Genomic DNA, 26,523 nt, shown 5'->3' on the forward strand with positions numbered 1-26,523 from the left:
TAAGTCACCAGGCAGAGTGCTGTCTGTGTTGTGTGGCATTTTGAACAGGTCTAATGGACTCGGTGCTGACAGCTGAAGGGCAAACTGTATGGGGATGGTTTTATCAAAGAGAAGTACAACTTTACTCATTTTTTAGGAGAGAGGCAAGATCTTATTGGTTCAACTTACAAATGACCTCATTAAAATCTAATAAAAAGTGGCCATGCTTTTTTATTTTGGGTGTTACCCAGAAAACCTTCATCTCTGAAGGGGACGTCATTATGATTTTCAAGTCGTCTTTTGATGAGATATTCATCCAAACGTGTCACTCTATAAATACATCTTTTCCTTTCTTAGGATCTGTCTGGCTCCATTGATGACCTCCCCACGGGAACGGAAGCAACTTTGAGCTCAGCAGTCAGTGCATCCGGGTCCACGAGCAGCCAAGGGGATCAGAGCAACCCGGCGCAGTCGCCTTTCTCCCCACATGCGTCCCCTCATCTCTCCAGCATCCCGGGGGGCCCATCTCCCTCTCCTGTTGGCTCTCCTGTAGGAAGCAACCAGTCTCGATCTGGCCCAATCTCTCCTGCAAGTATCCCAGGTATTTACTTTCCTGACAATTATTATTTTACTTTGTGATAAAGAGAGATTTCATGTTCATCAACAGTAACTCACATTACTTTACTATTTAAAACCTAGTGGCCACATATTAAGAGTATAACTGAATTCTCACCAAGGCATACGAGAGTCCCAGTTCCTAAAGATATTCAACAGGTGATTATAACTACCCCTTTAATAAAATGACCAATTACTTTGATAATTTCAATTTGCATATTTACCTTAACTTATGCCAGAAACAGGGTATTATTTATCCTCTTAGCATATGTTTTGTAATGATTCTGTTACATCAGAGCTTCTGTTGATGAGTGCCACTAAAGTGAGATTGTTGATGAGGATTGGCCTTATTTTTTTGTGGTTCTATTCAATACTTGCCACAGCATTTATTTTCTAAAACATTTCTACAGTCTATACTTATCAGTGTCTGATCACATGCAGGCACTGGTCAAGGTGGAGCATGGTCGAGGCGTTCTTACTGATACAAACTCGTGCCTTCTCTTGGACACAAGGAGCCCATGTTCTGGTTAACTCTGTGTTCATTTATTTCACTTGTCATGCATCGCCTCTATCTTCTCCCTTTATTATGTTCTCGAGGTTATTTATTTGGTTATTTATTTGTCAGTTACTTCATCCTCATCCAGCTTTCTTATATCAGACTTCATCCATTCAAGTCTACCGTACAACTAGCTTTCCTTTATCACCAAACCAGATAATTCATTCTATCCTTCCAAAATCATGGGCGTTAGTTTTGGTGCTTTTTAACGTTTCACCTCTTTTATATTAAAAAAAAAAAGTGTATTGTGGAATGTTTAGAATATTACACATATATATCTCTAAATAAAAGAACATACATAGCACACTAATTATGAAACATCAACTATCAAATAAACATTCATGAATTCACCATCCGGTTTAAGAATTAGAGTATCATAATGCCATTGTATCTACCTGTATATTTCTTCCTTATCCCAAGCTCTATACCTCTTCCTCACTTCAAATATCCTTTTAATCTTTTTTAAAATATTGTTCTTTTGGTTTTTGGGTTTTTTTCTAAGAATTTTATTACAAACATTCATAGAGTATATATTGTTTTATTAAGTTCTTAGCTTTATGGAAATGTATTATATTTGGAATGACTATAATTTATCATCCAATATGAGACACTTTTGTGCATGCAAAGGGCTACTATTAACAATTACAGTAGGATAGCGGCATAAGCCAGAAGGTCTTGGGCAGGTCAGATAATATGGTCAACCCACTTGTAGTGTAGGCTAAAATTTGCTTTTTTTAACTAAACGTTACATTTCTAAGATTCATCTGTAATTTGATATAGGTATACGCTCAGTGCATTTTGATTAAAGCATTTCGATGTTATCTTTCTTTCAAAGATATATGTTTGTCCTCATAGTGTTTGTAATAACCTGGACTTATCTGCTGCTTTTAACTTTTTAATGCTATGAATACTCTGTAGTCTAGAGTTTTTAAGACAGTTTTTGGTGTTGAGATGGTTTGTGAGATGTCACCTACCTAAATGTTGGAAAGTTATATGTAAAATATTGCGTTACTCAAAGAGCTTACTCTTTCATTCTAAATTGAGTCAAAAGGACTTTTTCTAAAAACCTAAATGAAAACTTTCTTGAGGTATAAAGATATAATGCTTTTAAATTTTAAATTCCTGACATGAGTAGTTAACCATCTGAAGACTTTCCACATGTCTGTCCTTCCAAATGGGGATTTCTAAACTTGTATATTCATTGTTTGGATTTGATGCAATACAGAAGATAAAACCCAACAGAAAAGCTCACTTCGGGCATGTGATCCTGGGTATCAGGTGTTACATTATATAGTATTTTACAGAGGAAGTAGCTCAGCAAATTTAACTGGCCTCAGAGTCTGTGGTTCAGTTGGTTTGCACAGGGTAAAAGCTGGTGAGTGGGTTATACACCATCACAAAGGATGCCCATTCTTCGCAGTGACTGCAGATGCGTGCGGACGGAGAGCACAAGGATCTCACTATCATTTCTCCCTGCTAACTCCTAGAAAGCTTTCCACTTTCTTGGACACGTTATTTAAAGTGTATAGTTTGTTTTTTAAACTTGTGTCAGAAACACTTACCACCATATTGCTTCACTGTACTATTCCAAGTCAGCTCCTCTGTAGCCGACCTCTATATGGTGCTTGGTAAAGCTATTCAATGAAATTTAGTACCGGGAGGAAATTAGGCAGCAAAAGCTCCACCTTTTTTTTGGTGGCATATTCTTCAAGTAAATTCTTAACTGTCTTTGCTAAATGCAAAGCTACATGGGGTTAGATTATATAAATATGACAAATAGAACATTTCTTAGTATATTCGCCATGGAGTAACCTCTTAAAAAATCTGATAAACAATTTTGGCATTTATTCACCTTTCTCCCAAGTGGAATTACAAACATTTGAACTTGATGGACTTTCATAATTATCTGATACTAGCCATATAACCTTGAAGAAGCTTCTAAGCCTCTCTGTGCCTCAGTTTCTGCATCTGTAAAGATGATAACCCCACCTTATAGGGGAAATGCAAAGATTAAATGTGTCACTGCACGTGAGACAGGTACATGCGGAGCACTCAGTGCTTGTTGATTCTTACGATGTTACGTTCACCATTATGGATATTATTCAAACTGAGACTGTCTGTGACAATTACTGTTCAGAGTTGTACAGTTGATTTAGGCAGCAAGTCTTCTGGTTCTTAATCCAGTGGTGTTTTTGTGCAATTCAGAAGACATGTATGTTGTTCCCAGTAATGACTTGGTGTGTTTGCTGAGGTAGTTCGGTAGGACTGCTAGAGCTAGCCATGAAAGCATAATATATTTTCACAGAGTTGAGCTCAGTTTTCTTCTAGAAAAAAAAAAAAAGTCCACGTTCCTCTTGGAGTTTGAGCCTGAGAAGGTTAAGAGGAAGACCGGAAAACGAGAGAGAATGACTGTACCCCAGAGATTAACAGAATTTCTACTGTTGTCTCTACACATGAAAATTTTAGCTGAACACTTAGCCCCTGCTTCTCTCAGATCATAGGCAAACATTTATGCTAGACCGCCTGCCTGCCACACAGAAAAGTTAACAATAGATGCAGTATAAAATCCTGGATTATTTTCCCTCTTTTTGCCTGTGTGGAGGCCACATCAGCTAACTGTGAGCAGCACTTCCTGCCCAGTGGTCACTGCCAGGGCTGCTGTAAACACTTCAACAGGTGCTCATTGCACAGGGTCTGAGTGGTGAATGGGAGTTGACATCTACCTGCCCTCTTGTGGGAAGGGGCACCATTTTCTCATTCATACAGAGGAGCCAGGTTACCCTCAGTAACCTTGTCCTAGACCTTGGGGGAGTAGTCCATGGCTTGAGTCCAGGTATTACCCATTTCTCTTTGTTCCCACAGCTAAGCCGAGGGCCACTCAAATGTCAGTTTTTGATAACAGTTCATCCAACATTTTATATGCAGCTATTTTAATGGAATTTACTCAAAGCTCATGACAGGTTTTTGTTGGGGAAAAAAAATGATTGTCTTCTATTTCCATTTCCCTCCACCTAGGCACCCTGTCCTTTCGAAGTTTTTAAATCATTTCCCTAAGATTCATATCCTTATTCTCTGAGAAGTATTAAATATATTAAGTTATCCAGCGTGCATTATGTTATATATTTGTGTGATCTTGGTCATAGGTAATAAAACCACATTTTGGAGATGATCATAAAGTTGGTCTTTGCTTTTTGTTTTATATTTACTTTCACCTAAATGCAAATACACCTTCCTTTAGAGAATAATGAGGCCCATCTCCCTCCTCCTTTTCCCATCTCTAATCCTTATATTTAAATGGTGTGTATCTATACATCAGATCCCAAGTTCATATGCAGTCCACCTTCATTTGGTTCTGAGTCTGCCAGTGAACCATACATGCCATGTAGAGACGACATGCTCTCCCAGGCGTGATACTCAAACTGTCGAGCTATCTGTTAGGAATTTCCCTTTATTTTTCTATATGTAGTCTTTTGTTTTCTTTCTGTCCCCTTCCTTCCTCTTACTCCCAGCACCAACTTGTGTTTGGCCTCTCTTCTCTCCTGTTGCTTCCTGCCATATCTCATCACCTCCTCTCCATGTCTCACAGACTGGCTCTTTCAATCATTGTCTCTCCAACAAGTCATTGTAAAATGTGCAGCTGTTATGTAGCTGATAGCTGGGATGAAGTAAAGCCAAATGTTGCAGGGGATTCTTCCTGATGTTGCTTTCCTAGGATTTGTTGAAAAAAAACAATCATTTTTCTCCATCTCTACCCTGGTAAATGTAATTGACAGCTAATGAGAAGTATCACAGAGGTAGATAAACGAAGCCCAGTAAAGCATCCCAAATGGCTGATTCTGTTTCTTGCCTGTTAAACTGTTCCTCCACCCACTGCAGATTTGCCCTCCTATCTTGCTGCATCACAAACATTGTGAGTGTCATGGGAACCACTACTGTGATACACTGGTACAACACTGCCCCGCCACATCCCTAACTCAGCTGGGCTTTTCCTCCTGCATTCTTTGGAGAAGCAGAATGGAGATTTTTTATGTTAGGTAGCCACATGGATTCTCTCCCTTTGTTTGCACATTCCTGGGCTCCAGCTTTGCAGCTCTCTATAGTTAGAAGGTAAAGAATTCAGGCCTGCTTGTTGACTCTAAACAAGCATTTGAGAACAGAAACACAAACGCTGTACTCTCCCTCCAGTGCCATCACAAATTTTCTTGTTTTTTACCTATTCTCTCTCCTCTTCATACTGATGTATTTATATTTAGAGACAGAAATGAAATAGCTCCATCTTTGTAATTGGCAGTGTGTATTCATATACTATACATTTAAATTAAGTAGATGTAATGTCAGGTACAGTTAATTCTGAAATGTGTGATATTAGACATGATGCTGATATTCTAGTAAATGATCCCATCACGTTGCACTTACACTGCTTCTTGGGTTATATCCTAGCGTTTTTCACTTTGGCGTTAGGAGGGCTGCTGGGTTTTGGATGTGTATTGAACAGGTCTTGGGTCTTACGCTGGGCCTGATTGCCCCTAATGCATGGTGGAAGCTGACTCAGCACGGCATCTGAATGCACCGCTGTTGCCAGAAGATTCTGCGGATGTTAATTTCACTTGTCTTGCCTCCAGAGCCAGCCATTCCAGTTTACTAACAAAGCAAAAATGTAAATAAGCCAAACTTAAAAATTTTTTATTTTATTGGCCAGAGGCTTTTGTCAGCTTTTCCTCCATGTGCTGTAAGCAGCGGCAGTGTTTAAATATTGAGAGGAGGGAGCTCACCGTGGGGGTGAGGAATGGACAGGCAGGTGTTAACTGTTCATAGCCTGGCTACTTTTGTTTATAAAACTAAGCTCATCTGTTTTATTAATGAAGATCTAAGGATAGTAACTGAAAATTCCTGAATAGATTTTTCCGCATTCTTTTTTAGGCATTAGGCATTTGGTATTTGTACTAAGTCCAGTGTAAGTAGAGTTAACTCACTTTGATCTGGCAGCAGAAGGCCACTGATTATAATAGATTAGGGTCAAAAACACAAAATTAGGTCTTCACGCTAGCACATAATGAGTAGCTGTTTGTTTCATGGCTATTGTTCTTCTTGCTTGGTATTAGGTAAGACTAATCAAAGGCAACATCATCTTAGCTATCATAGACAGAAACAAAATAGAGTTGCATCAAATATGAAAGTAGAACCCTTTTTCTTTTCACATTTCGTGCTTCGCTGTTTGAGGCGCTCACCTGCCACCTGGCCTCTCGGCAGACTACCTGCTGGCTGGCTGGGCATGAGGGATGGGTCAGGGTGCCTTCAGAGCTGAGACTGTGAAGCCGGGAGGCACAGGTCAGGAGGAATCTCACTCACATTCCAGGAGCCACCTTCACTGCTCCCATCTTTTTCTACTGATACCTCCCCTCCCCTTCTCCCTCTCCAGCCAGCTGCGCTTCACCCTACTCCAGTGATCACCTCTGCACGTGTGCCTCCTGCCTGGGGTAGCCGCCTCCCGCCTGGGGTAGCCTCTTCCAGGAGCCCCTCCACAGTGCACAGCATGTGGCACCTGCTAATGTGAACTCATACCCAGTGAATAACTTCAGTCTCTGTCCTTTGAAAAGGATCACAGGTGTGACGAGCCTGAAGAAATCGCTTGGTCAGAGCTCGTCCTCCTACGCCACAAAGCACCAATTCCTTTATAGTGGAGCCTAATTCTCTGCAGCTTTATCATGGCCATTCCTAGAGGGCGAGAGATGCATCCAGCATACCAACCAGCCATAATGAATCTGTGCCCCTCAGGAAAATCTCAGACAAAAAGCATGAGTTCTAGAAAGGGTGGCACGTATTGGATTAAATATGGAAAAGAACTGTTTGGCAGCACTGGGGTGTATTTAGAGCTCTTCTGTGTGAGTGCTCACCCAGTCCCACCCTTCAGCAAGTGAGAGCTAAGTAGATTTCTCTACCAGCCGATATAGCTGCAGATACAAACAAGAAGATATTCTGGTCAAAAAACTAATTTTCTTGCTTAATTTGACATTCAAACAAGCAGAATCTGGAAGGATGCTATAATGGGAAAGAGAAAGATGAATCTCAGTTAGGAGTTAGTCATAGTCCAGAGTGAACAGGAAGGATTCCAGTGAGAGGAAATGATAGCTCCTGGTCTAATTTGTCAAGATTAGTACCTATCAGATGAACAATGGAGGATGCAAACCAATGTCTCTCTTTCATTTAACCCATTTCTCCTGGAGTTTTAGGTCTCTTAGGGCTCAAGCCCATCCTAAGTAAATAAACTTTCTACTTTTTAATTTGGCCTTAATAAAACTCAGGGTAAAAAGCATGAGTTTATTTCTATATGTAAATGGTTCTTAGCCAGTGTCGTTTCGTGATGACATTAGCAGTAGACCCTCTAAAATGGCATTTCTTGTACTGACAGAAATTTTTTATTTGAAAGTCTGCATAATCATCTTACCTAATAATCTTATTTTTAAATATCTATCGAATGTTCCTTTTTGGCTTCACTGGAGGTGGAAATCCTGCAACAGCTTGTTGCAAGGAAGATGCATGCTGCTTATTGGCAAGCCGAGGAGGAAAAAAAAAATTAACACAAAATGCCATTGATATATCCATGTTTTTAATCTGTGGCAGCACAGAAAACCAATTCAGCAGTTCTACAAACCAAAGAGAACTTAAGCCAGTATTTTTTTCCCTGACAAAGTAAAATATTTGGATGTTATACAAAACTATTTCCATTCCCTTCCAAATGCTGCTTAGCAATAGTTAAGAAAGCAAATTGTATATTTTGTCTTTTTGAGAGACGGGGTTGCATCTCTGTATGGCTTAGTTATTGGTAGCGTGATGTAGAACCTCCCACTTTAAGATAACAGCTTTAAAATTCAGGCCAAGATCCTGGTTATGGAAACTCAGCAAGTCCATGGGTCATGAATATTCTCAGCGCTGTTTCTAGAGGACAGATTCCCCATTGCTGTCTGGTGGCCAAGGCCTTTGCGTTTGAAGAACTGCCTCAGTGTTCTGAGCTACTCTTCTCCTTCAGAGGTCACTCCACACCCCAAGTCAGGTATTCTGATGGGTGGGGAATGAGTATTCTTTTCTTCAAAAGCACAAATCTTTTCAATCTTTCATTCCAGCAAACTTCAAATTAAGCCTTTTCTCCTCTTCTTTCTCCCACATTTAGAAATAAGAAAACAATAGAAATTTATCAAAATACAAATTCCCACTTGGTTTTGCTCCTCTCTTAATTAAAAAAAGTTGGGCAACTCAGTTTAAATTATCCTGTCAATTTCCGTTCCCTTTCTCTATTCTTCTGTGTATGAAAATACAAGAAAGCCTGTGTCACCAAGGCAATATTATGTGCCTTTTTCTTGCTCTGCAATCTCAGCAGTGACTCATGTGTTTTCATGGTGGGTCTAATGGTCCACTCCCACTTCTCCATTATTTTTTTGCATTGTTCTCTGGAGAAGCACTTCAGACACCTCGTTCTGTTTGTTTTCACTCTTGAGCTGAGTAGGCTGTCCCTGCTCTGAACCTCTGCTCAGCTGAGTGTCACTGCGTCTGGATTCTGCGTGTGCTGCCTCTGTGGAAATGCTGTTGGCATTGACCCGCTGCCTTCTCCCTTCGCTGAGAATGAAGATTCAGAATGGAGGGGTACAAAAGCTTTTATGAACTAATTTTAGCCTAGAAGTAAAAAGTTTCAAAAATCACTTGAGTACATTTTGGAAAATGGTGGGTAAATGAATAGTACTTAGAGTCAAGATGCTCCTAAAGTTGATTTCACAAACTTCTGGTATATCACCATGTTTCCTAAAAGAGAATAAGTAACAATTGTGGAAGGAACAAAACCATTTTATAGAGAGTGTTAGGTTTATTTCCCAGTCTTCTGATAACCCTGGAGCCAGGATTATTATGATGTGTTGATTGATTATAGCCGTTAAGACTCTTACTAATCAGTTTCATCACTTATTCTCAATTCACACACTTGCATCTTTGATTTCTCTTCCATAACAGGGTGATATGGGTTGTCATTGACTAATGAAGAACAGAATTGGTTTCGGCATGAGACAAACGGAATGCCTTCACTAATCCTAAAATGCATTAATCTTTCATAATCCACATCTGCATGTTTATAAATGATATAACTAGGAATTGTTAATGTTGATATTCTCCCTTCCAAACAGAAAGTGACATGGGAGTTTGTACTTGCAAACTGCATTAAATACATAAAGCTGAATGCCAAGAGTGTGACCTTGCTGAGGATGCCAAATATATTACTTCATTTGATGGTTTTAGAAAAGTAGCATGTTGCACTTTGAGTGTTGGATATACCAGGAGATATCCTGTGGAAAGCCAACTATCCTAATTGTTCCGTTTCCTTCCTGCCTTATTTTATCATTCTATTCTGTCATTAATTCAGCAAAGCACTGAGTGTGTATTATGCTGCAGGCGTAGTAAGTGGGGTAAAGGCGCTGAACATAAACTGCAAAGGGTCCTGTCCTCGTGAAACTTAAAGTCTAGTGGGAAAGACAGGAAATACATAAATAACTACATACTTTATTGTCAGGTAGTCAAGGAAAAAAATCAGGTTACTTCTTTAGATAGCAGTGGCTAGTTAGGGCAGGTGTCTCTCTTAGAAGCTGATATTTGAACAAGAGAAGTGAAAGAAGGGCAGGGGCAAGCCATGTGAGCATCTGGGAAAGGAGATCCAGGCAGAGAACGGAGCAAACTCAAAGGCCCTGAGTTAGTATTGTGCTTAGTGTGTTGGGCGGCGAACACCAGGAAATCAGTGTAGCCACAGCATAGTGGTCACGGGCAATGGAGCAGAATGTGTGGGCAGTTAGGTGAGAGAGGAGCTAACGACTTTGTAGGTTATGATTATGATTTAGGAGGTTTTTTTATTACTTCTTTTTGAGAAGGAGTCTCACTCTGTCTTCCAGGCTAGAGTACAGTGGCACGATCTCCACTCACTACAACCTCTACCTCCCAGGTTCAAGCAATTCTCCTACCTCAGCCTCCCGAGTAGCTGGGACTATAGGCACATGTCACCACGCTTGGCTAATTTTTATATTTTTAGTAGAGATGGGGTTTCGCCATGTTGGCCAGGCTGGTCTCGAACTCCTGACCTCTCGAAATCTGCCCATGTTGGCCTCCCAAAGTGCTAGGATTACAGGCGTGAGCCACCGCGCCTGGCCGATTTAGGAGTTTAAGTGTGATGTGATCCCTCTGGAAGGTTGGGAAGGCAGGAAATAGCATAATCCTGTTTAGGTTTTAGGAGGCTCACTGTGGCTGCTAAGTGGACAGTATACTGTAGGGGAAGGTGGGAGCAGAGACATCGGAGGCTCCTGCAGTAACCACGCGGAGTGTTGATGGCCGCTTGGATGTGCACATAGCGGGAGTAGTGGCAGAAGGAGTTTGGCCGAAGGAATTGGTAAATGATGGTTCTGTACAGAAGACAGAGGAACACGTTTTTGAAGGGGAATCGAGAGTTTGGTTTTAAACATACTGTATTTGAGGTTCCTACTGGGCATCCTAAGGGAGGTTTTGAATAGGAGGTTGGATAAGATCTGGACTCAGGCAGTATTTTGGTGGGAAAAATGAGTGTGTGAGGCTTTAGGGTTCAGGATGAGGTCCCCTGGGCACCCAGCCTGCCTCAGCATCACTTGGAGGGCTTGTGATTCAGTAGTTGTGGGGTGGAGCCCGAGAGTTTGCATTTCCAATAATTTCTAGTTCTGCTGAAGCTGCTGGTCTGGGAAGTACTGGCCTAGGGAGTGAGTGAAGGTCAGTGCTCCTCAGCACTCGCCACACAACATGCCTGGGAAAGGACCGGTGCTGGCCCAGCCCTGGAGATGCTGAGCTAATCGGTCTGACACGGGGTATTCCGTCAGTACTTTCTTAAAGCTCTCCAGGTGGTTATTATGCACAGCCAAGGCTGAGAATCACTGAGAGAAGAATTCTGAGGAAACCCTGGGGTACCCAAAAAGGTAGAGACTGTGAAAAAGAAATGCAAGAAGAAATGTTTCTAGAATATGGAAGAGAGCACCCGTGTCCAAGACAACTTAGCACTTCCCCAGTGCTCCATGGGCGTGCCTGAGAAGGAGGCCTGTCTTCCCAGTTAGGAGCACATACATTTCTCACAGGAAAGTTGAGGGATGATTAGCTCATGTGTTAAGGGCGGCATAGTGCTGAGGTTTTTTCCCCTGATCTTTCTAGAACTAGATTTGGTTCAGTTGAAAGTAATGTCACAGAAAAAATTCTTGTGCAAAAATACTGTTGTATTCTCAAGTCCAGTTCAGTTAGCAGCAGACTTCCTCATTTCCACAATTGTTACCTGAAGTTCATTTCACATGAAATCCAAGAATCATGTTATTTTAATTCTACTTGAAAAAAGGCAAAAAAAAGTATCACATTTTAAGAGAAGCGAGCCTCAGTGGATATATTTTTGCTGCTTGTTCGTTTTTCATGTGGCCTCAGTGCCTTTTCTTAGAAGCCGACGGAGGAACTAGTTGAGAATTCCCTGTCTCTATACCACTGACCATGACTTTGCGTCAGATCTTTGTCCCTAGAGCTGCATTAAAGAATAATGTGATTTATCCTTTCTGCCTGGAACATCCATCCCACTCTTCATGCAGCCCAGCAAACTCCTCCTTACCCTTCAAGACCCCGCTAAAGGATCTTTCCCTTCACGAAGTCCTTGCTGACCCCTGCAGCCCCGGAGTTCAGCTCTCCCTCAGGGCTGCCCCAGCTGCCTGAGCCCCTGGCGGGCTGAGAGCCTCTTTCTTCTTTTTGTCCCCAGTGCCAAGAACAGTGCCTGGCAAGTAGCGCTATTCAGTAAACATGGGCCAAATTAAAGAACTCACAGTTCTCTTAGAAAAATGGGAATTCAAAAGGAGAGAGTTCTGAAATTGGTGACTTATAACCTTTCTCCTGTGGGCTTGGAGCCATCTTTCTGCCTTTGCATTTCACCCTCCATGGGATCATTCTTTTCCCCTCCCTCCTGAAAGCGACTCCACTGTGACAGATACCTTTCACAAGTGTGCTTGCCGAATATTTAGTCCAATCTGAAAGAAGTAATGGAGAGTACTTGAGGTCGTGCTCGAGAACCTTCCTCTCCACATTGCCACAGTCAGAGGCTCTGTGGCCTGCACAGCCCTCCTTGTCCCCTGGCACTCAGCATGGAGAGCTTAGCCGTGCCCAGGCTGGCACTGCCTCTGGCAGAGTTTACTCCTGAGCTGCGGGGTCCCTGAGGGTGCCCACTGCCACCCGCCTGGACCTCCCAGTTCTAGCCTCGTGCTGGAGAGGTCTGCTCTCCCCCCAGCAACCTCACAAGCCCAGCACTGTTAAAAAGGAGTCTGGTTATTGATTAATCCGGGTTTCATTGTGCAACTCTATATCTCTTGAAAAAGCACTTATTTAAACACCCAAATGTATTAATATGTCATGGTGTGAATTGTGATAGTGAAGCAAGGTAAGCAGGTGCTGGTTTCCTTCAAATATACATTGTGAAGTGTTGATTTATCCCCCTTAGATCCTGGAGATTTCACTCAGGAGCCTGGGGTTTTTTGTTTGTTTGTTTTTTAAGTTTTTCAGAATAGTAAGTGGTTTTAGCTGTCTCGTTCTTTACTTTTAAAAGTATGAGTTTTATGCCAAGGGTTTAAAAATCTTAAGTTTTATCATGAAAACAAGCTGTCATTAGTTAGTATAATCACAAATGCAATGAAATTTTAAACTCTGTAAGAAAAAGCATATTATTTTAGTACATAAATTGACACTTAATTCTATATCTAAATGGAGAATTTATAGAAACCATGCCACCTATAGTACCAGTGTTTTATCTGTTGGTCTCAACTTTATACATTCTGTGTTATTTCCCTCAAATTCCAATATTTAATTCCCAAACCCTGTATTTTTCCCTCCCTCTTCTGACATCCAGACGCAGCATAAAGATGCCCATTGATTGACCACGTGTGCCACCTTTTGGTCTGGAAAACACGGTCCCTCGTACCTACAGGGCACAGCAAGCGCTCACGTGCTATATTCTCTTTTAGGTGCAAAATGACTCCAAGGGAGTGAGCATCCGCATGTGGCACTTCTCATAGCCAACCACCCATGTTTACAGGCAGAGTTGTCACGAAGCGTTGGAACCCAGAATGAGAAATTTGTGACAAGAGAGGGTGGAGGCGAGTGAAACTTTGATTAAAGGAAAGTGCCTTGGCTTTAAAAAGGCCTGTCTCTATCCGGCAGCACAGAGCAGCGATCAAGTGGAAGAAAGGGAGCAGGCAGGCGCCTCAGCTAATCTTTCTCCTGGGGGCCCAGGTGGACAAATTGGCAACCCTGTTCACAGCTTTTTTTCTTCTCCCCTTTGTGTCATAAGAACTGCTAATCGGATCCATGCTGCTGCAACTGTGGTTAGTTATTAGCAGAATAAAAGCAGATTTCTTCAAAAGAACGGGTGGGGGAAACGACTATACAAAATTGCAAGGTTGTTAGAATCTAAAATGCACAGCAGTCGATTTTTCCCCTTATTCTGAATTAGACGATGAATACAAGTCTTTCATCTGTCACTATACCCATTTCTTCAGAGGCAGCCAAATATTAAGCTTCTCAAACAAAAAAGGAATCTTAGAAAGAGGAAAAATATTGAGGAGGAATAAGAATGGGTGAGAGAAGGGAAAAATTAGGTTTTGTTTTTATTAATTTGCCCTGGTGAGAGAAATATAAACCATCCCTCTATTTGGTGTTCTCCCCGCCGCCTCTTACCTTACATCAAAGCGAGGATTCGAGAGAATGGAGCTGGTGGCTGTTCAGCATTTTATGTCTGGTGTTCTGCCTGAGGAAAGTTCAGAACCTACCTCTTTTCTTACAGATAGCAGAGTGCTATGAATCCGGACTTCCTGGGGGAAGGCCGGGCTAGCGATGCCATACCCAAATGTGGAGAATAGACCTTTCCCTCCACAAGTGGGTTTTCACGTGGCCCAGTAGACCTTGGAATTGTATGCCTGAGCTTTAAAGCTATTGCAAAGGGTGTGTTTTGATGAGAATGCCAGATTTTCAGCATGGTAGTTGATGTACTTCAGGACATCATGGACTTTCACAGGGGATGCCTCGCAGATCCTCAAGATTCCCAAAGTTAGAAGTGGTTCCTGCTTTCAACCAAATCACATTTTTGGTCATACTGCCTATTTACTATTCATGTCTTCACATCTGAAGTTAACTAAAGTTGAGAAGCTTTCCTTAAAGTTCCATCTTTTATTTAATGGCTGTTTTATCCACAAAGACACAGTTTTTATTCACCTCCCCAGAGTCGGTCCTGAGTGGAGTGGCAAGTGCAGTGGGACCCAGGCTGAGCTGTGCCAGCCGCCACCCTGAGAGTTGTGCCTCAGTCAAACCCAAAGCACATTATATTCCCACACCTTTCAGGCCACTTAGCAGTCATCCAGACTAAAAATGTCTCATTTTAATGCGGAGAATCCTCTGTATGTAAATGTTTTATGACTCCAGTTTATTTTTTTTATTTTTTTTGAGACGGAGTCTCGCTCTGTCACCCAGGCTGGGGCGCAGTGGCATGATCTCAGATCGCTGCAGCTTCCGCCTCTCAGGTTTAAGCAATTCTCCTGACTCAGCCTCCCAAGTAGCAGGGATTACAGGTGCCCACCACCACGCATTTTTGTAGAGACAGGGTTTTATCATGTTGGCCAGGCTAGTCTCGAACTCCTGACCTCAAGCAATCTGCCTGCCTTGGCTTCCTGAAGTGCTGGGATTACAAGCGTGAGCCATTGCGCTGGGCCAACTCCAGTTTATCTTTAATCAAAGCTGTGCTGACTTAAATAGTTAAGTCTAGAAGTCCGTGCATCACCATGTATCCTCTGACTTAACTTGTCCTTTGCCTTGCCAGAGACTTTTCAGTTTCTTTGCCCCAAGTTCTCTGTGGGAAGGTATCTCCCCAAAAGGGATCTCATGGGTATTAGTGATCAGACTATTAAACCAACTTGCAAGGGTCTGTCTTACCCTCGCACCTGTCACAGAGTTATGAGGAGGACCCATGCGAAAAACATTGTGTAGTTTTAGTATGTTTAATTAATAAAAGAAAAGTTCTGGTTTGAATCTATGATAGCAGGCTGGGTGAGTAACGTTTTATAAGTTGGTCTTTAAGGGCTTTTATGAGGACATAATTCACATAGACCACATCATACTCACTTCTGTTTTCTACCTGTTGGCTGATCGTCCTTTATAGCTAATCTATCTTCAAGCCTAGGAGTGAGGTTTAGAAAAAGACTTGGAACACTCAGACCACAGTAGGGAGGAGAGTTGAAAAGCTTAATCCGGCAGGTTTTTGACAGTGTATTAGTTTGTTTAGAATAAAGGTATATGGCCCTGTGAACGGTGCGTGGGAGCTGTCTTGTTCTCTCAAGTTCGGGAATTGGAAGTATCCTTATTCCCTTCATGGCTCGGGAGTATCCAAGTCAGATAGCCTCTGAAGTGCCCATTTATCTGTATTTTTAGGACCTAATGACACATGAATAGTCTGTAATATTTTGGATAAGGATTTAGGAAAGTCTAGCCCCGTTTTGAATGAACTTTCGAGCTGTATGACATGAAAAGGTTTATCTCTCAAAGCAGGGGCTTAACTCCTTCAAGGTGAGGACACCAAATTGCTGTGGTTCTGTGTTCTCAGTTGAAAGGTAGGGAAGAACATTACTTTCTGGTTTATACTGCTCTAATCTGAGATAGGATTTATTCACAATAAAGAATTGTGTTGACAGCCTGTTCACCAACATCTTCCCCACCCCTCTGCCCTGATACAGGACCTTTTGGTAAAGGGTGAGGTGATCTTATTAGAGACAGAGGCACACACACCCCATGCTGAACAATAGGAAGTGTTATAAGTTCACACCCACGCACTTCAGATAAACTGTTAACCGGAACCACTAAGCGGAAGCCTGAGCAGATTCTGTATTTCAGTAGTTTGCTTGGAGCATATCGAAGTTGGTGTCAGCCAGCCTGCTTCTTCATTCTGAGAATAAGTGGGATTTTTTTCCGTTCTTGAAGCAAGTGAAATAGAAAACACTGAACAGAAGGATGCTATGTCTAAATAACTTGTGGGTTTTCTAACTCATCTAAATAAATGCCTGAGACTAGGACATTTGTTGAATGTATGGATTATCAAAAATGTATTTTTCATTTACACCATTAGGTATTATGCAGGTTTTTAAAGAAATGACCCATGAAATCCTTGTGCTGTGTTGCAGAGCTGTACCATCTTACCATACTCTAGCTTCTTACTAACTGAGATAAGATGTACAGTGATTTCCACAGATGCGGAGTCTACCATGCAACCAACCAATGCTGTCTCTTAACAAAATTATATTGTCATTTATCATGGTGGAAGGAAAGATCCTGACCAGTTCTTCATGTTGCAGAAATTAAAGGAGCAACTAAATACAACCCATAGTAAGAAGTTATAGTGTAATTACTAGTGGGTTTGGCAGAATATAAGAAATGCATCCTCCAGAAGATCGGTAAAGTCAGATGGTGGCAGGTGAGACCCGTATTCTACTTTAAAGATTTGAAAGAGAGCCGATTTCCATGAGGCTGTACTAGAATAAAGCAACCCAGTGTTTTAATTTTGGATGCAGCAGCAGAATTGCACAGTCAGTGGGAAGCACAAGATGAACACGATCATAGTAGTAATGTATCAGTATTTGGTTGCTACAATGTGTTCTTTTAATTTCTCACTAAAGTTAATGACACCACCAAGAATTCTTGATGAGTAGAAGAATTAATTCAATTGCTAATTGCTGAAAACCATGAACTATGTATTGATTTTGTAGCACCATCCCATGGGAGTAACTTGATCATGATAGAGTTATTTGCAAAGTGACTGGAAGCATTCCTCATTTCTTCTCAGAATTCAACAAGAACCACAACCAGTTTAATTCACACGGACCTAAGAATAGGTCTGTCTTACCCTTGCCACTGTCACAGAGTTTATGAAGAGGGCCCAAGTACTTGCCACTAAACACCTCATGATCTCCATGTATTGAGGATGATTGGCCAAGAAAATTATCCAAATTTCCATGGTTTCACATGTCTTTTCACATTAATTATAAAAAGCCAATCTTCTTGAATTACTAATCGAAGAATATAATTTAGGACATTGCCCTCTATATAGTGAGTACTCTTTTTTTTTTTTAACCTCATTTGGTACATTCAAGCTATCTCTAATTTACCTGCGAACTTGTAAGACAAATAAATGTATATTCTAGACAGTGCTCTCTCTTTAGCTCCTTCTTTCTTCACTTTTGCCCAGAGTCAGCTAACGTAGGAAAATTGGAAGGATAGAATGGATCTGAGGCATTAAAACCGAAATCAAGTAGTGTCTGTCATTCAGACTCCAGATTTGCTATCTTGACTAATCATGTCAATATTCCATCTCAGATAACTAAATCCATCTTAGGTTAGTTGGCTTTTTAGCTGTAATGATGTGAAAGGAAGGAATAATTTTTCTATGGCCACTACAACTTTTGAAACATGGAATTTCTGAATATTTCTATATCTATTAGTATTACTAATACTGGAGATAATGCAGTATTATTTGAAAAGGGGTGAATGGTTTGTTTGCCAGAATTGGTTGTGGTTCAGAGTTAGTGTTCTTGTTCTTTTTCTATAGTTGTATACTGTAGTAATGTAGAAAGGAATTATCCCCAAGGAATTTTAACCTCAATAAAGGATTAATGTGGGAATCCTATTCACCTCATGTTTATTCTCTACCATCCCAACACAAAAGTAGTAGAGTATAATTTACGCAATTGCATCTGATCAGTAGTTGATCTGATTTGTTGGTTTGTTTCTGATCCGAAAGAGTTGGAAAAATAAAACTACAAGTAATCATTTATCTAAACATTTACCTGCTAAATGTACTTACCATTTAAGTCTTAGACTTTTGCCTGCATTAAGTGCTAAGGAACCCAGCGCATTCTTACATATAGATAGGAGAGAGCATAAAGCAACTTCTGTTACTGACATTTATTTATGAAGCCTTCCCCTTTAAATATGGAAGAATGTGAGATTTCTATGTCAGTGCTGTTGTTATTAAATACTCATCTGTATTGGCTTTTTCAGCAAGTATTCCTCCTGAGTGGTTCTTTTTTTTTTTTTTTTTTTTTTTTTTGAGACGGAGTCTTGCTCTGTCACCCAGGCTGGAGTACAGTGGCGCAATCTCTGCCTCCCGGGTTCAAGTGATTCTCCTGCCTCAGCCTCCTGAGTGGCTGAGATTACAGGTGTACGCCACCACGCCTGGCTAATTTTTATGTACTTTTAGTAGAGACGGGGTTTCACCATATTGACCAGGCTGGCCTCAAACTCCTGACCTCGTGATCCACCCACCTCAGCCTCCCAAAGTGCTGGGATTACAGGTGTGAGCCACTGCACCCGGCCTTCCTGAATGTTTCTTTACTCACTCATATTATCATTTAGAACAGGGATCACAAACTACAGCCTAAGGACCAAATTCAGACAACCACCTGTTTTGGCAAATAAAGTTTTATTTATGCTATTTTGTTTTCATATTGTCTGTGGCTACTTTTGAACTACAACAGCTGAGGTGAGTAGTTGGAACAGAAAACATATGGCCTGTGAAACCTAAAATGTTTACTATCTGGCAGTTTACAGAGAAAGTTTGTCTAATCCTCATCTAGAATAATAAGATAAAACTACATGATTACAGATGAGTTACAAAGATCTAATTATCTATTAATCTGAGCTTGGTTCCTGGAATCATTAGCCATACTTTTTTTTTTCAACAAATACTTATTGAATGGTTACTATATGCCTGGTTCAAGAGATATAATATAGCGGGGAACCAAACAGTCTGAATTTTCTGTCTGTATGGAATGTACATTGTAGTCAGTTGAGACAATGAACGGAATTAAATTAAGAACTATGGAAAGTGTTAATACTGTGTCCAGTTGTAAAAAATCGTAGAACGTGGCACTTGTTAGTACTGACTGCCCCACCATCTTGTTCTATGAAGTATGCTGAGCTATAATATATTCATGTCTCAGTCCATCCACTGTACATTATACATTACTGGATGTGTGCTAATTTACCAAAATACACATATTAGCCTCTTTTTCCCAATTGTGTTATATACTAAAATCCCAGAGTTATGTTACTTGAATATTTAATTTGGTACTTATCTTGATTTAGTTCTTAAAAGCTATTTTTAATTGGATAAAATTCTCCCAAAACTTCTCCTAGTGTAAGATTCTAAAGAAAATATTAGCAAACAGAATCCAACAGTACATTAAGAAAATAATGTATCATAAGTGGCATTTATTCCAGAAATGCAAAGTTGGTTCAATATTAACAACTTTTTTTTTTTTTTTTTTTTTTGAGACAGAGGCTTGCTCTGTTGCCCAGGCTGGAGGGCAGTAATGTGATCTCGGCTCACTGCAACGTCCACTTCCCAGGTTCAAGTGATTCTCCCGCCTCAGCCTCCTGAGTAGCTGGGATTACAGGCACCTGCCACCATGCCCGGCTAATTTTTTGTATTTTTAGTAGAGACAGGGTTTCACCATGTTGGCCAGGCTGGTCTCGAACTCCTGACCTCGTGATCCACCCGCCTTGGCCTCCCAAAGTGCTGGGATTATAGGCGTAAGCCACCACGCCCGGCCTAACAACTCTGTTATTAATATATACCATAAACATACATCTGGTGGGGGGAAATCCTCTCTGTAACAAAACTCAACACCCAGTTATGATAAAAACACTCAAGGAAGTAGCAATGGAGAGATACAATCTCAACATGGTAAAATGTATATGCTTTAGTTTCACTTATGGACTAGGGAAGCTCTAGAGGCATTTCCACTAAGATCACAAATGAGGCAAGGATCATCACTATCTTCACTACTGTTCAGTAATGTACTACAGATATTAGCCAATGTAGTTAGGCAAGAGAACTCAATTAAAGGCATAAGGATGAGTGTAGGAGAAATAAAACTGTCTATTTACGGATGATATAATAGTAAGCCTGGAAAACCCCGGAGAATCAATGACAAATTAGCAGTGGAAGAATTCATTTAATGCGGTAGTGAGACATAAAATTAACATACAAAAAGCAGTAGTCTTTCTATACACAAACAATAAACAGTTAAAAGACATATAATGGTGAAGAGAATCCCATTTACAGTAGCAACAAGGAAGACTACGTGCTTAGGAATAAACTTAACATAAAATATACAAACCCTCTAGGTACCTGAAAGAAACTAAAGAAGACTTAAGCAAATGAAAGATGTCTCTTGTTCTTGGGTGGGATGAACTCAGCAGTCATGAGTTCTCCTTGACTGATTATTTCAGTCCAATTGCTGTGAAAATATTAGTGAGCTATTTTATATGGTTGGACAGGTTGATACTAAAGTTCATATAGAAAAACATGCAAGAAAACTTAGAAAACACTGAAAAAGAAAAGGTGAGGAGCACTATTCTTACTGGACACTAAAACATGGTATAAAAATACTGGAACTGAAAATAGTGTGTGCTAGCCAGTGGAACAGAAGAGGAAGTCCAGAGTTAGACCAAATACATGTGAACATGTATTAAATGACAAAGATGATATTTCAAGTCACTGGGCTAAGAATGGATTTTTAAATAAATTGTGTTGGAATACTTGGGGAGCCACGTGCAAAGAGATTAAGTTAGATCCATCCTCACATCAAATAAACTCAAGGGAGATGGAAAAAAAACATGTATGTACTCGAAGAAAACTAGGGTGAATTCCTCTTTAACCTTGGTGTAGAGAGAATAGCTTCCTAACTGTGACTCAGAATCCAGAGGCAATAAAAATAAAGACTGATAAATTTGACAACATTAAAAAAAATTTCCGCTACAAAAGACACCGTAAGCAAAACTAAAAGACAACTGACAAACTAGGAGAAGATATTCACAATATATACCACAGACAAAGGGCTAATATCTCTAATATATGAAGAACCCTTAAAAATTCCAGGGCAAAGGATTAAGAACGTAAGCAGAAAAATAGGAGAAAGACTTGAACAAACAATTCACAAGGAAAGATATTAAAATGGCCCTAAAATCTGAAAAAGTAGTCAAACTCATTCAGAATCAGTAAGACTGGTAATTTTTTATTTTTAATTTTTTTTGAGATGGAGTCTTGCTCTGTCGCCCAGGCTGGAGTGCAGTGGTGCAATCTCGGCTCACTGCAACCTCCGCCTCCCGGGTTCAAGCGATTCTCCTGCCTCAGCCTCCCCAGTAGCTGTGGTTACAGGCACGCATCACCATACCTGGCTAATTTTTGTATTTTTAATAGAGACGGGGTTTCACCATGTTGGTCAGGCTGGTCTTGAACTCCTGACTTCATGATCCGCCCGCCTCAGCCTCCCAAAGTGCTGGGATTACAGGGGTGAACCATCGTACCTGGCCAAGACTGGTAAAATTTTTTTAAACAGCAATACATTCTATTAGTGAGGTTATGGAGAGACAGGCCTTTCAAACATTGCTTGTAGCAATGTAAATTGGTACAAAGTTTCTAGAAGGAAATTTGGAATTGTGTAACCTTTAGACCCAACAATCCCACTTCAGGGAATTTTCCCTGAACATAGACCCCAGCAATACAAAAATACATCCACAAAAGACTGGAAACTGTCTAAATGCCCATACACAGGAGAGTGTTGAGTAAACTATGGAGCACTCACATAAAGGGGTGCTGGGGAGCCCAGGACAGTGTGTCCAGGACAGCGTGAAAAAAAGGAAAGCCCAAAGGGTGTGCCACAAACTTACCAGCTTAAAACAAGGCACATTCATTATCTCTGTTCCCCTGGCAGAGAGTTCAGGCACCTCTTAGCTGCTCAGGACTTACAAGGCTGCAGTCAAGATGTTGGGCAGCCTGCATCCTCATCTGGAGGCTCGACTAGGGAACAATCTACTTCCAGTTTCATTCGGATTGTGGCAGCTTCATCTCCTAGCAGTTGCTGGAGTGAGGTCCTGAGATTCTGGAGGCCTCTCGTTCTTGCCTTAGTCTCAGTTCACATCAGAGAAGCCTATTTCCTAGAAGGCCTGAACCCTGTTGAAATGTCAGGCCCATACAGGATCATCTCTCTCCATTTTGATTATTTCAGAGTCAGCTGATTAGGGAGTTTAATTATATCTGCAAAATCCTTTCACATTTGCCATCTGACATAGTTGCAGGAGTGACAGCCCATCACTTTCTTCACATTCTTTGGATAGAATTACAGGTTCTGCTCAGTGGAGAGGAGGGGATTACTCACCGGTGTTACTCATTGGAGGTTACTCGAGGGTGTGTCTGCCACAGTGAGTGAAGAGAAATAGTCTAATAAATAAAAAACCAAGTGAGGAAGAAGATGGCTCTTCTCACAATGGAATTCCAGTAACTAAATGTGGAAGAAAAAGGGGAAATATAGAATCACCGTTAGCCGATACCACTGTAATAAATGTAAACAAGATCTTCTAAAGGATCCAGAAATTCGTGAGTGCAGGTTTGAGGAGGCATAGGATTTGCATAGTCTCAAATATCTTCCAAAAAATACTTAACCAACTACAATGGGAAAATAGATTGTACTGAGAAGGGTATGACATTTTTGTGGTACACTTCCCCAAATTCATAACCTCATTTTAGGGATAAAAAATATAATCAGAGCAAATAAAATTTGGCAACATTCTACAAAATAACTGAACAGTACTGTTCAAAGGTGTCAAGGTCACAAAATAGAAGGAAAGACTAAAGTACCTACCAGCTGGAGGAGGCTAAGGGAAAGTCACTAAATGAAATGTGGGATGATCCCAGAAAAAAGACATGACGCGGAAAAATGGGTGTAATTCAAATGAGGTCTTTAGGTAAGCTTCTCTTCTCGGTAATTGTATTATGGTTATATAAGATGTTAACATTGGAGGAGGTGGGCTAAAGGATATAAGGGAACTCCTTGCACTATTTTTACAAGTTTTCTGTAAGTCTAAAATTAATTAAAAATAAAAATACGTTTTTAAGAAAATGATAGCATAGACTTAGGCTGATAATTTTATTTCAGTAAAAGTAGAAATGCAGGTGACAGTTCTGCACCTAAATTGTGCACGTGGCTGTGTGTGTTATCATTGGAGAATACAGAAGTGTGCAATGATGGAACTTACTCTAATTCATAGTATAGTGTTTTCCAGTTGTATTTTTTTCCATTATGCTTACATCATAATAGACATTGCTGAGGAAAGAACACGGGGGCTCTCTTTATTTATTTTTTTAAGCTATTTTAATGTTAAAGTGCCTTCATAAAGTGGGTTGGTTCACTGTGCCCAGCAGTATGCGCTTTAAAAATTATTACCACACTTTGTTTAAGAGGTTTTACTTGTGACCAACACATGTCATATAAAAATCTGTAATTTTGAAGGTGTTTATTGAATTCGGTTGGTTCGGAGGGCTCTGAATTTTCTTCTTTACATGGGCCAAGGACACAAATGAGTCTTCTGTTATCACTTTCTCAAATGCATTTTCTGAGTCATCATCTGCTGTGACGATGTTTAAACTATGCCTGTGGAAGATCAAGTTGTTTCTTAGTTACTGTAGTTACTGAATCATAGTAACTATGACTTAGTAGTTATGAAACTATGGTAGAAAGATAGGGAGTAAAGGAAAATGAATAAGATGGTTTGGGTGGATCTGTATCATGATAAAGCTCTTGTATCTTTAACAGAATGAATTTGGTATGTGAATATTCTCATTGCTTTAAAGAGACATCTGTCTTAGAATTGTGCCACACAACCAGAAGTGCTGCTTGGCTGTGGCGGTATTTTATGAATCATGGGATGCATTACTTACAGCCTTTTTTATTTCTACTTGAAATATTGTGCATAAGAGCAGTGCCTCGGGCGTGCACTGTCTAAGCCACGGTGCCCTGTGTTCACATAGAATTACTGTTTGTTTTTACTGTCATGAGTCTATGAATCCAGCCTGTCATGCAGAAGTGATCCTGATAATGTAAGCACTTACTGTCTTGCTGCAGCTGATTCCCCAGTGACATTTTAAAAAGTCAGTATTTGGCTGCAGAGTGCTTTAAATTTCTAAATGGACTATAGATTGGAGGCCTTAGGGTATTTCATAGGAAGCACATGACCCTGCAGTGAGCACACAGCAACTTTTGTAGATCTGTAGCCAAGTCGGTGACCAGTATTTACCCTTGAAATTGTTTTGGTTCAGAATGTTAGGTGTTTTTTACTTTACATTTAATTATTTGGTACTAGTACTAATTTACTACAAATGTCTGAAACCAAATGGATACTTAACGAAGTCTATGCTGTTTGTCCAGGTCTTTTATCCCGACTAGTTATGGTTCTAATGTAAAAAGCAGCTTCTAGTGGTGACACAGTGCATATTTCTCAGTGTCTATAAATTCAGGTCTTTGGTTTTCACTTAATCTGAAAATGAGAGTGGCAGTTACACACTCAGGAACACTCAGAAATACATAAACAAGTTTTGCATTCTTCTCTAAACAAAGCCTAAACCCCTGAAAACAATTGTTTTATAGTAATATTTTAACAGCTATTTATACGTGTTATCTAAACTGAAAATCATATTCCTGATCCTCTGACTGCCACAGATACCCCGTGATTAGACTTAGTAAGGAGTGACCGTCCTGAGAGATTCTGGGACCGTGTCCTGCCTGGCCACATGGGTAACAGACCCATCTTGTAGAACCACAAGAGGGTTGGTTGTTGTACATCGTCAAATACCAGGCTTTGTGCTGAATGTGCCCTGACCTTCACGGGGGGCGAATTGGTGATGATCTTTAGGACACTAATTTTTTTCTTTATTATTTGTAATTCTTTTGAGCAATATGCCTGACTATGAAGCAGTGGGTCTGACGGAGTCAGAGCGGTTAGCCTGATCCAGCCGGGGTCCCAGGACCACCGCCCCAGAGGACTATGCAATGTTCTTTATGTGTGTGTGTGAGTGTATTTGTGTTTCCAATTTATTGAAGCAAAGAGGGAGGGTAGAAGATAAAATAGCATGGTCCTCATGTCACGAGAGCTAGTTAGTGCCTTGAGGACTGTGCTAAATTCAGCTGCTTTTTAAATTCCGTTACATTTTTAGTCTTAGAAATGCATTTAAACCTCTCAGCCAAAAAGTGAGTTGAGATCATCAGCTACCTCTGATGATTTTTAAATTTCAAAATCTCATCTCCTGCCTTCACATGACTCATTATCTCTCTTTTATCAGTATAGTAAGAAGTATCTTCCTTTAAATAATATTCTCAGATTATGACTTATTAAGTATTTGCTATGTTCAGAGAGGGATTGAAGGAATACAGATAAGATTCCTGTCTTAAGGAGTTTACATTATATTTGGAAAAGACAAACTGAGCATACACTTAAAACTGGAAATTAAATAGATGCTATTGCTGTATTAGCAATAAAGATCAAAAGAGATGCAGAATAATAGTCCCTTCTTTAGTGATCATGTATACTGCATTTTATAGTAGTATGTTTTTTGTTTCTTAATGGAGGTCTTCTAAGTTTATGTTAAATCTCTGACTGACTAATGATGAAGATGTTTTAGAAGTCTATTGATATTACTGTACTGATTGGATATTACCATGAGTAATTGTTGGCCACTCTGCATGCCTGCCCACCTGGAGACTCACGTAAGAGTCAGGAGGATGAGTTTGGCCCAGCTCTCCTACGTTTTCTTAAATGCATTGCAGAAGTGTGTGTCAAGAAATTTCAGCTACAGATTGATTCATATATGAGTTTAGGAACTCATTCAGTAACAACTTTTCAGCAAGTGTTTAGCTAAATATGTTTATTCATGTTTCCTCTTTGTTTCCCAGGGAAAAGATGAACTATTACACTCTGAGCTATGTCTTTTTTTAATGGGGCTATACCTTTTGTGATCATAAAAATTAAATGTGGCTGTGTCTTGGTTTTGCATGACTGCATTATTAATGCAAAGGGTTCCCCCATCTCCACTTTCCCTCCTGTGTTTTACAGGTAGTCAGATGCCTCCGCAGCCACCCGGGAGCCAGTCAGAATCCAGTTCCCATCCCGCCTTGAGCCAGTCACCAATGCCACAGGAAAGAGGTTCGTCTCCAGTTCATGTCTTACATGCCTATAGTGCTTTCAGGCGATAAGGCGTACGTGAGTTTGCTTACCTATGCACCTCCTTATCATTAATTTTTTTAAAGGATATTATGTTTTCTTATCAGACGGAAGAAATAAAAGCCCTTCCAACAAATATGGAGAGGAGGGAGGATGCTTTCTTGTAGGTTGGGTGAAGTGTGGTCAAAGTACAGTTCAAGGCCCAAAGAATGTGTGTGTCCACATAGCACCATGAAGCATGGTTCACATATGACTGTAGTCTGGTATTT

The 26,523-nt window shown here is 40.4% G+C and overlaps 1 protein-coding gene across 36 annotated transcripts in view; it reads left to right on the top strand.

The window, feature by feature from the left end:
• ARID1B (AT-rich interaction domain 1B) overlaps positions 1-26,523 on the top strand; it is a 434,754-nt gene that overhangs the window by 308,300 nt on the left and 99,931 nt on the right. For 31 of the 36 annotated variants that reach the window (NM_001371656.1, XM_011535984.3, XM_017011105.3 and 28 more), the window contains 2 exons: positions 337-580; positions 26,147-26,236. In NM_001371656.1, coding sequence (NP_001358585.1) covers positions 337-580; positions 26,147-26,236 — 334 coding nt within the window. The remainder of the gene's footprint in view (positions 1-336; positions 581-26,146; positions 26,237-26,523) is intronic. The other 5 variants (XM_047419138.1, XM_047419146.1, XM_047419141.1 and 2 more) reach the window with 1 other exon arrangement.

The sequence above is a fragment of the Homo sapiens genome, chromosome 6 (genome assembly GCF_000001405.40).
Source record: "Homo sapiens chromosome 6, GRCh38.p14 Primary Assembly".
Classification (NCBI taxonomy): Eukaryota; Metazoa; Chordata; class Mammalia; order Primates; family Hominidae; genus Homo; species Homo sapiens.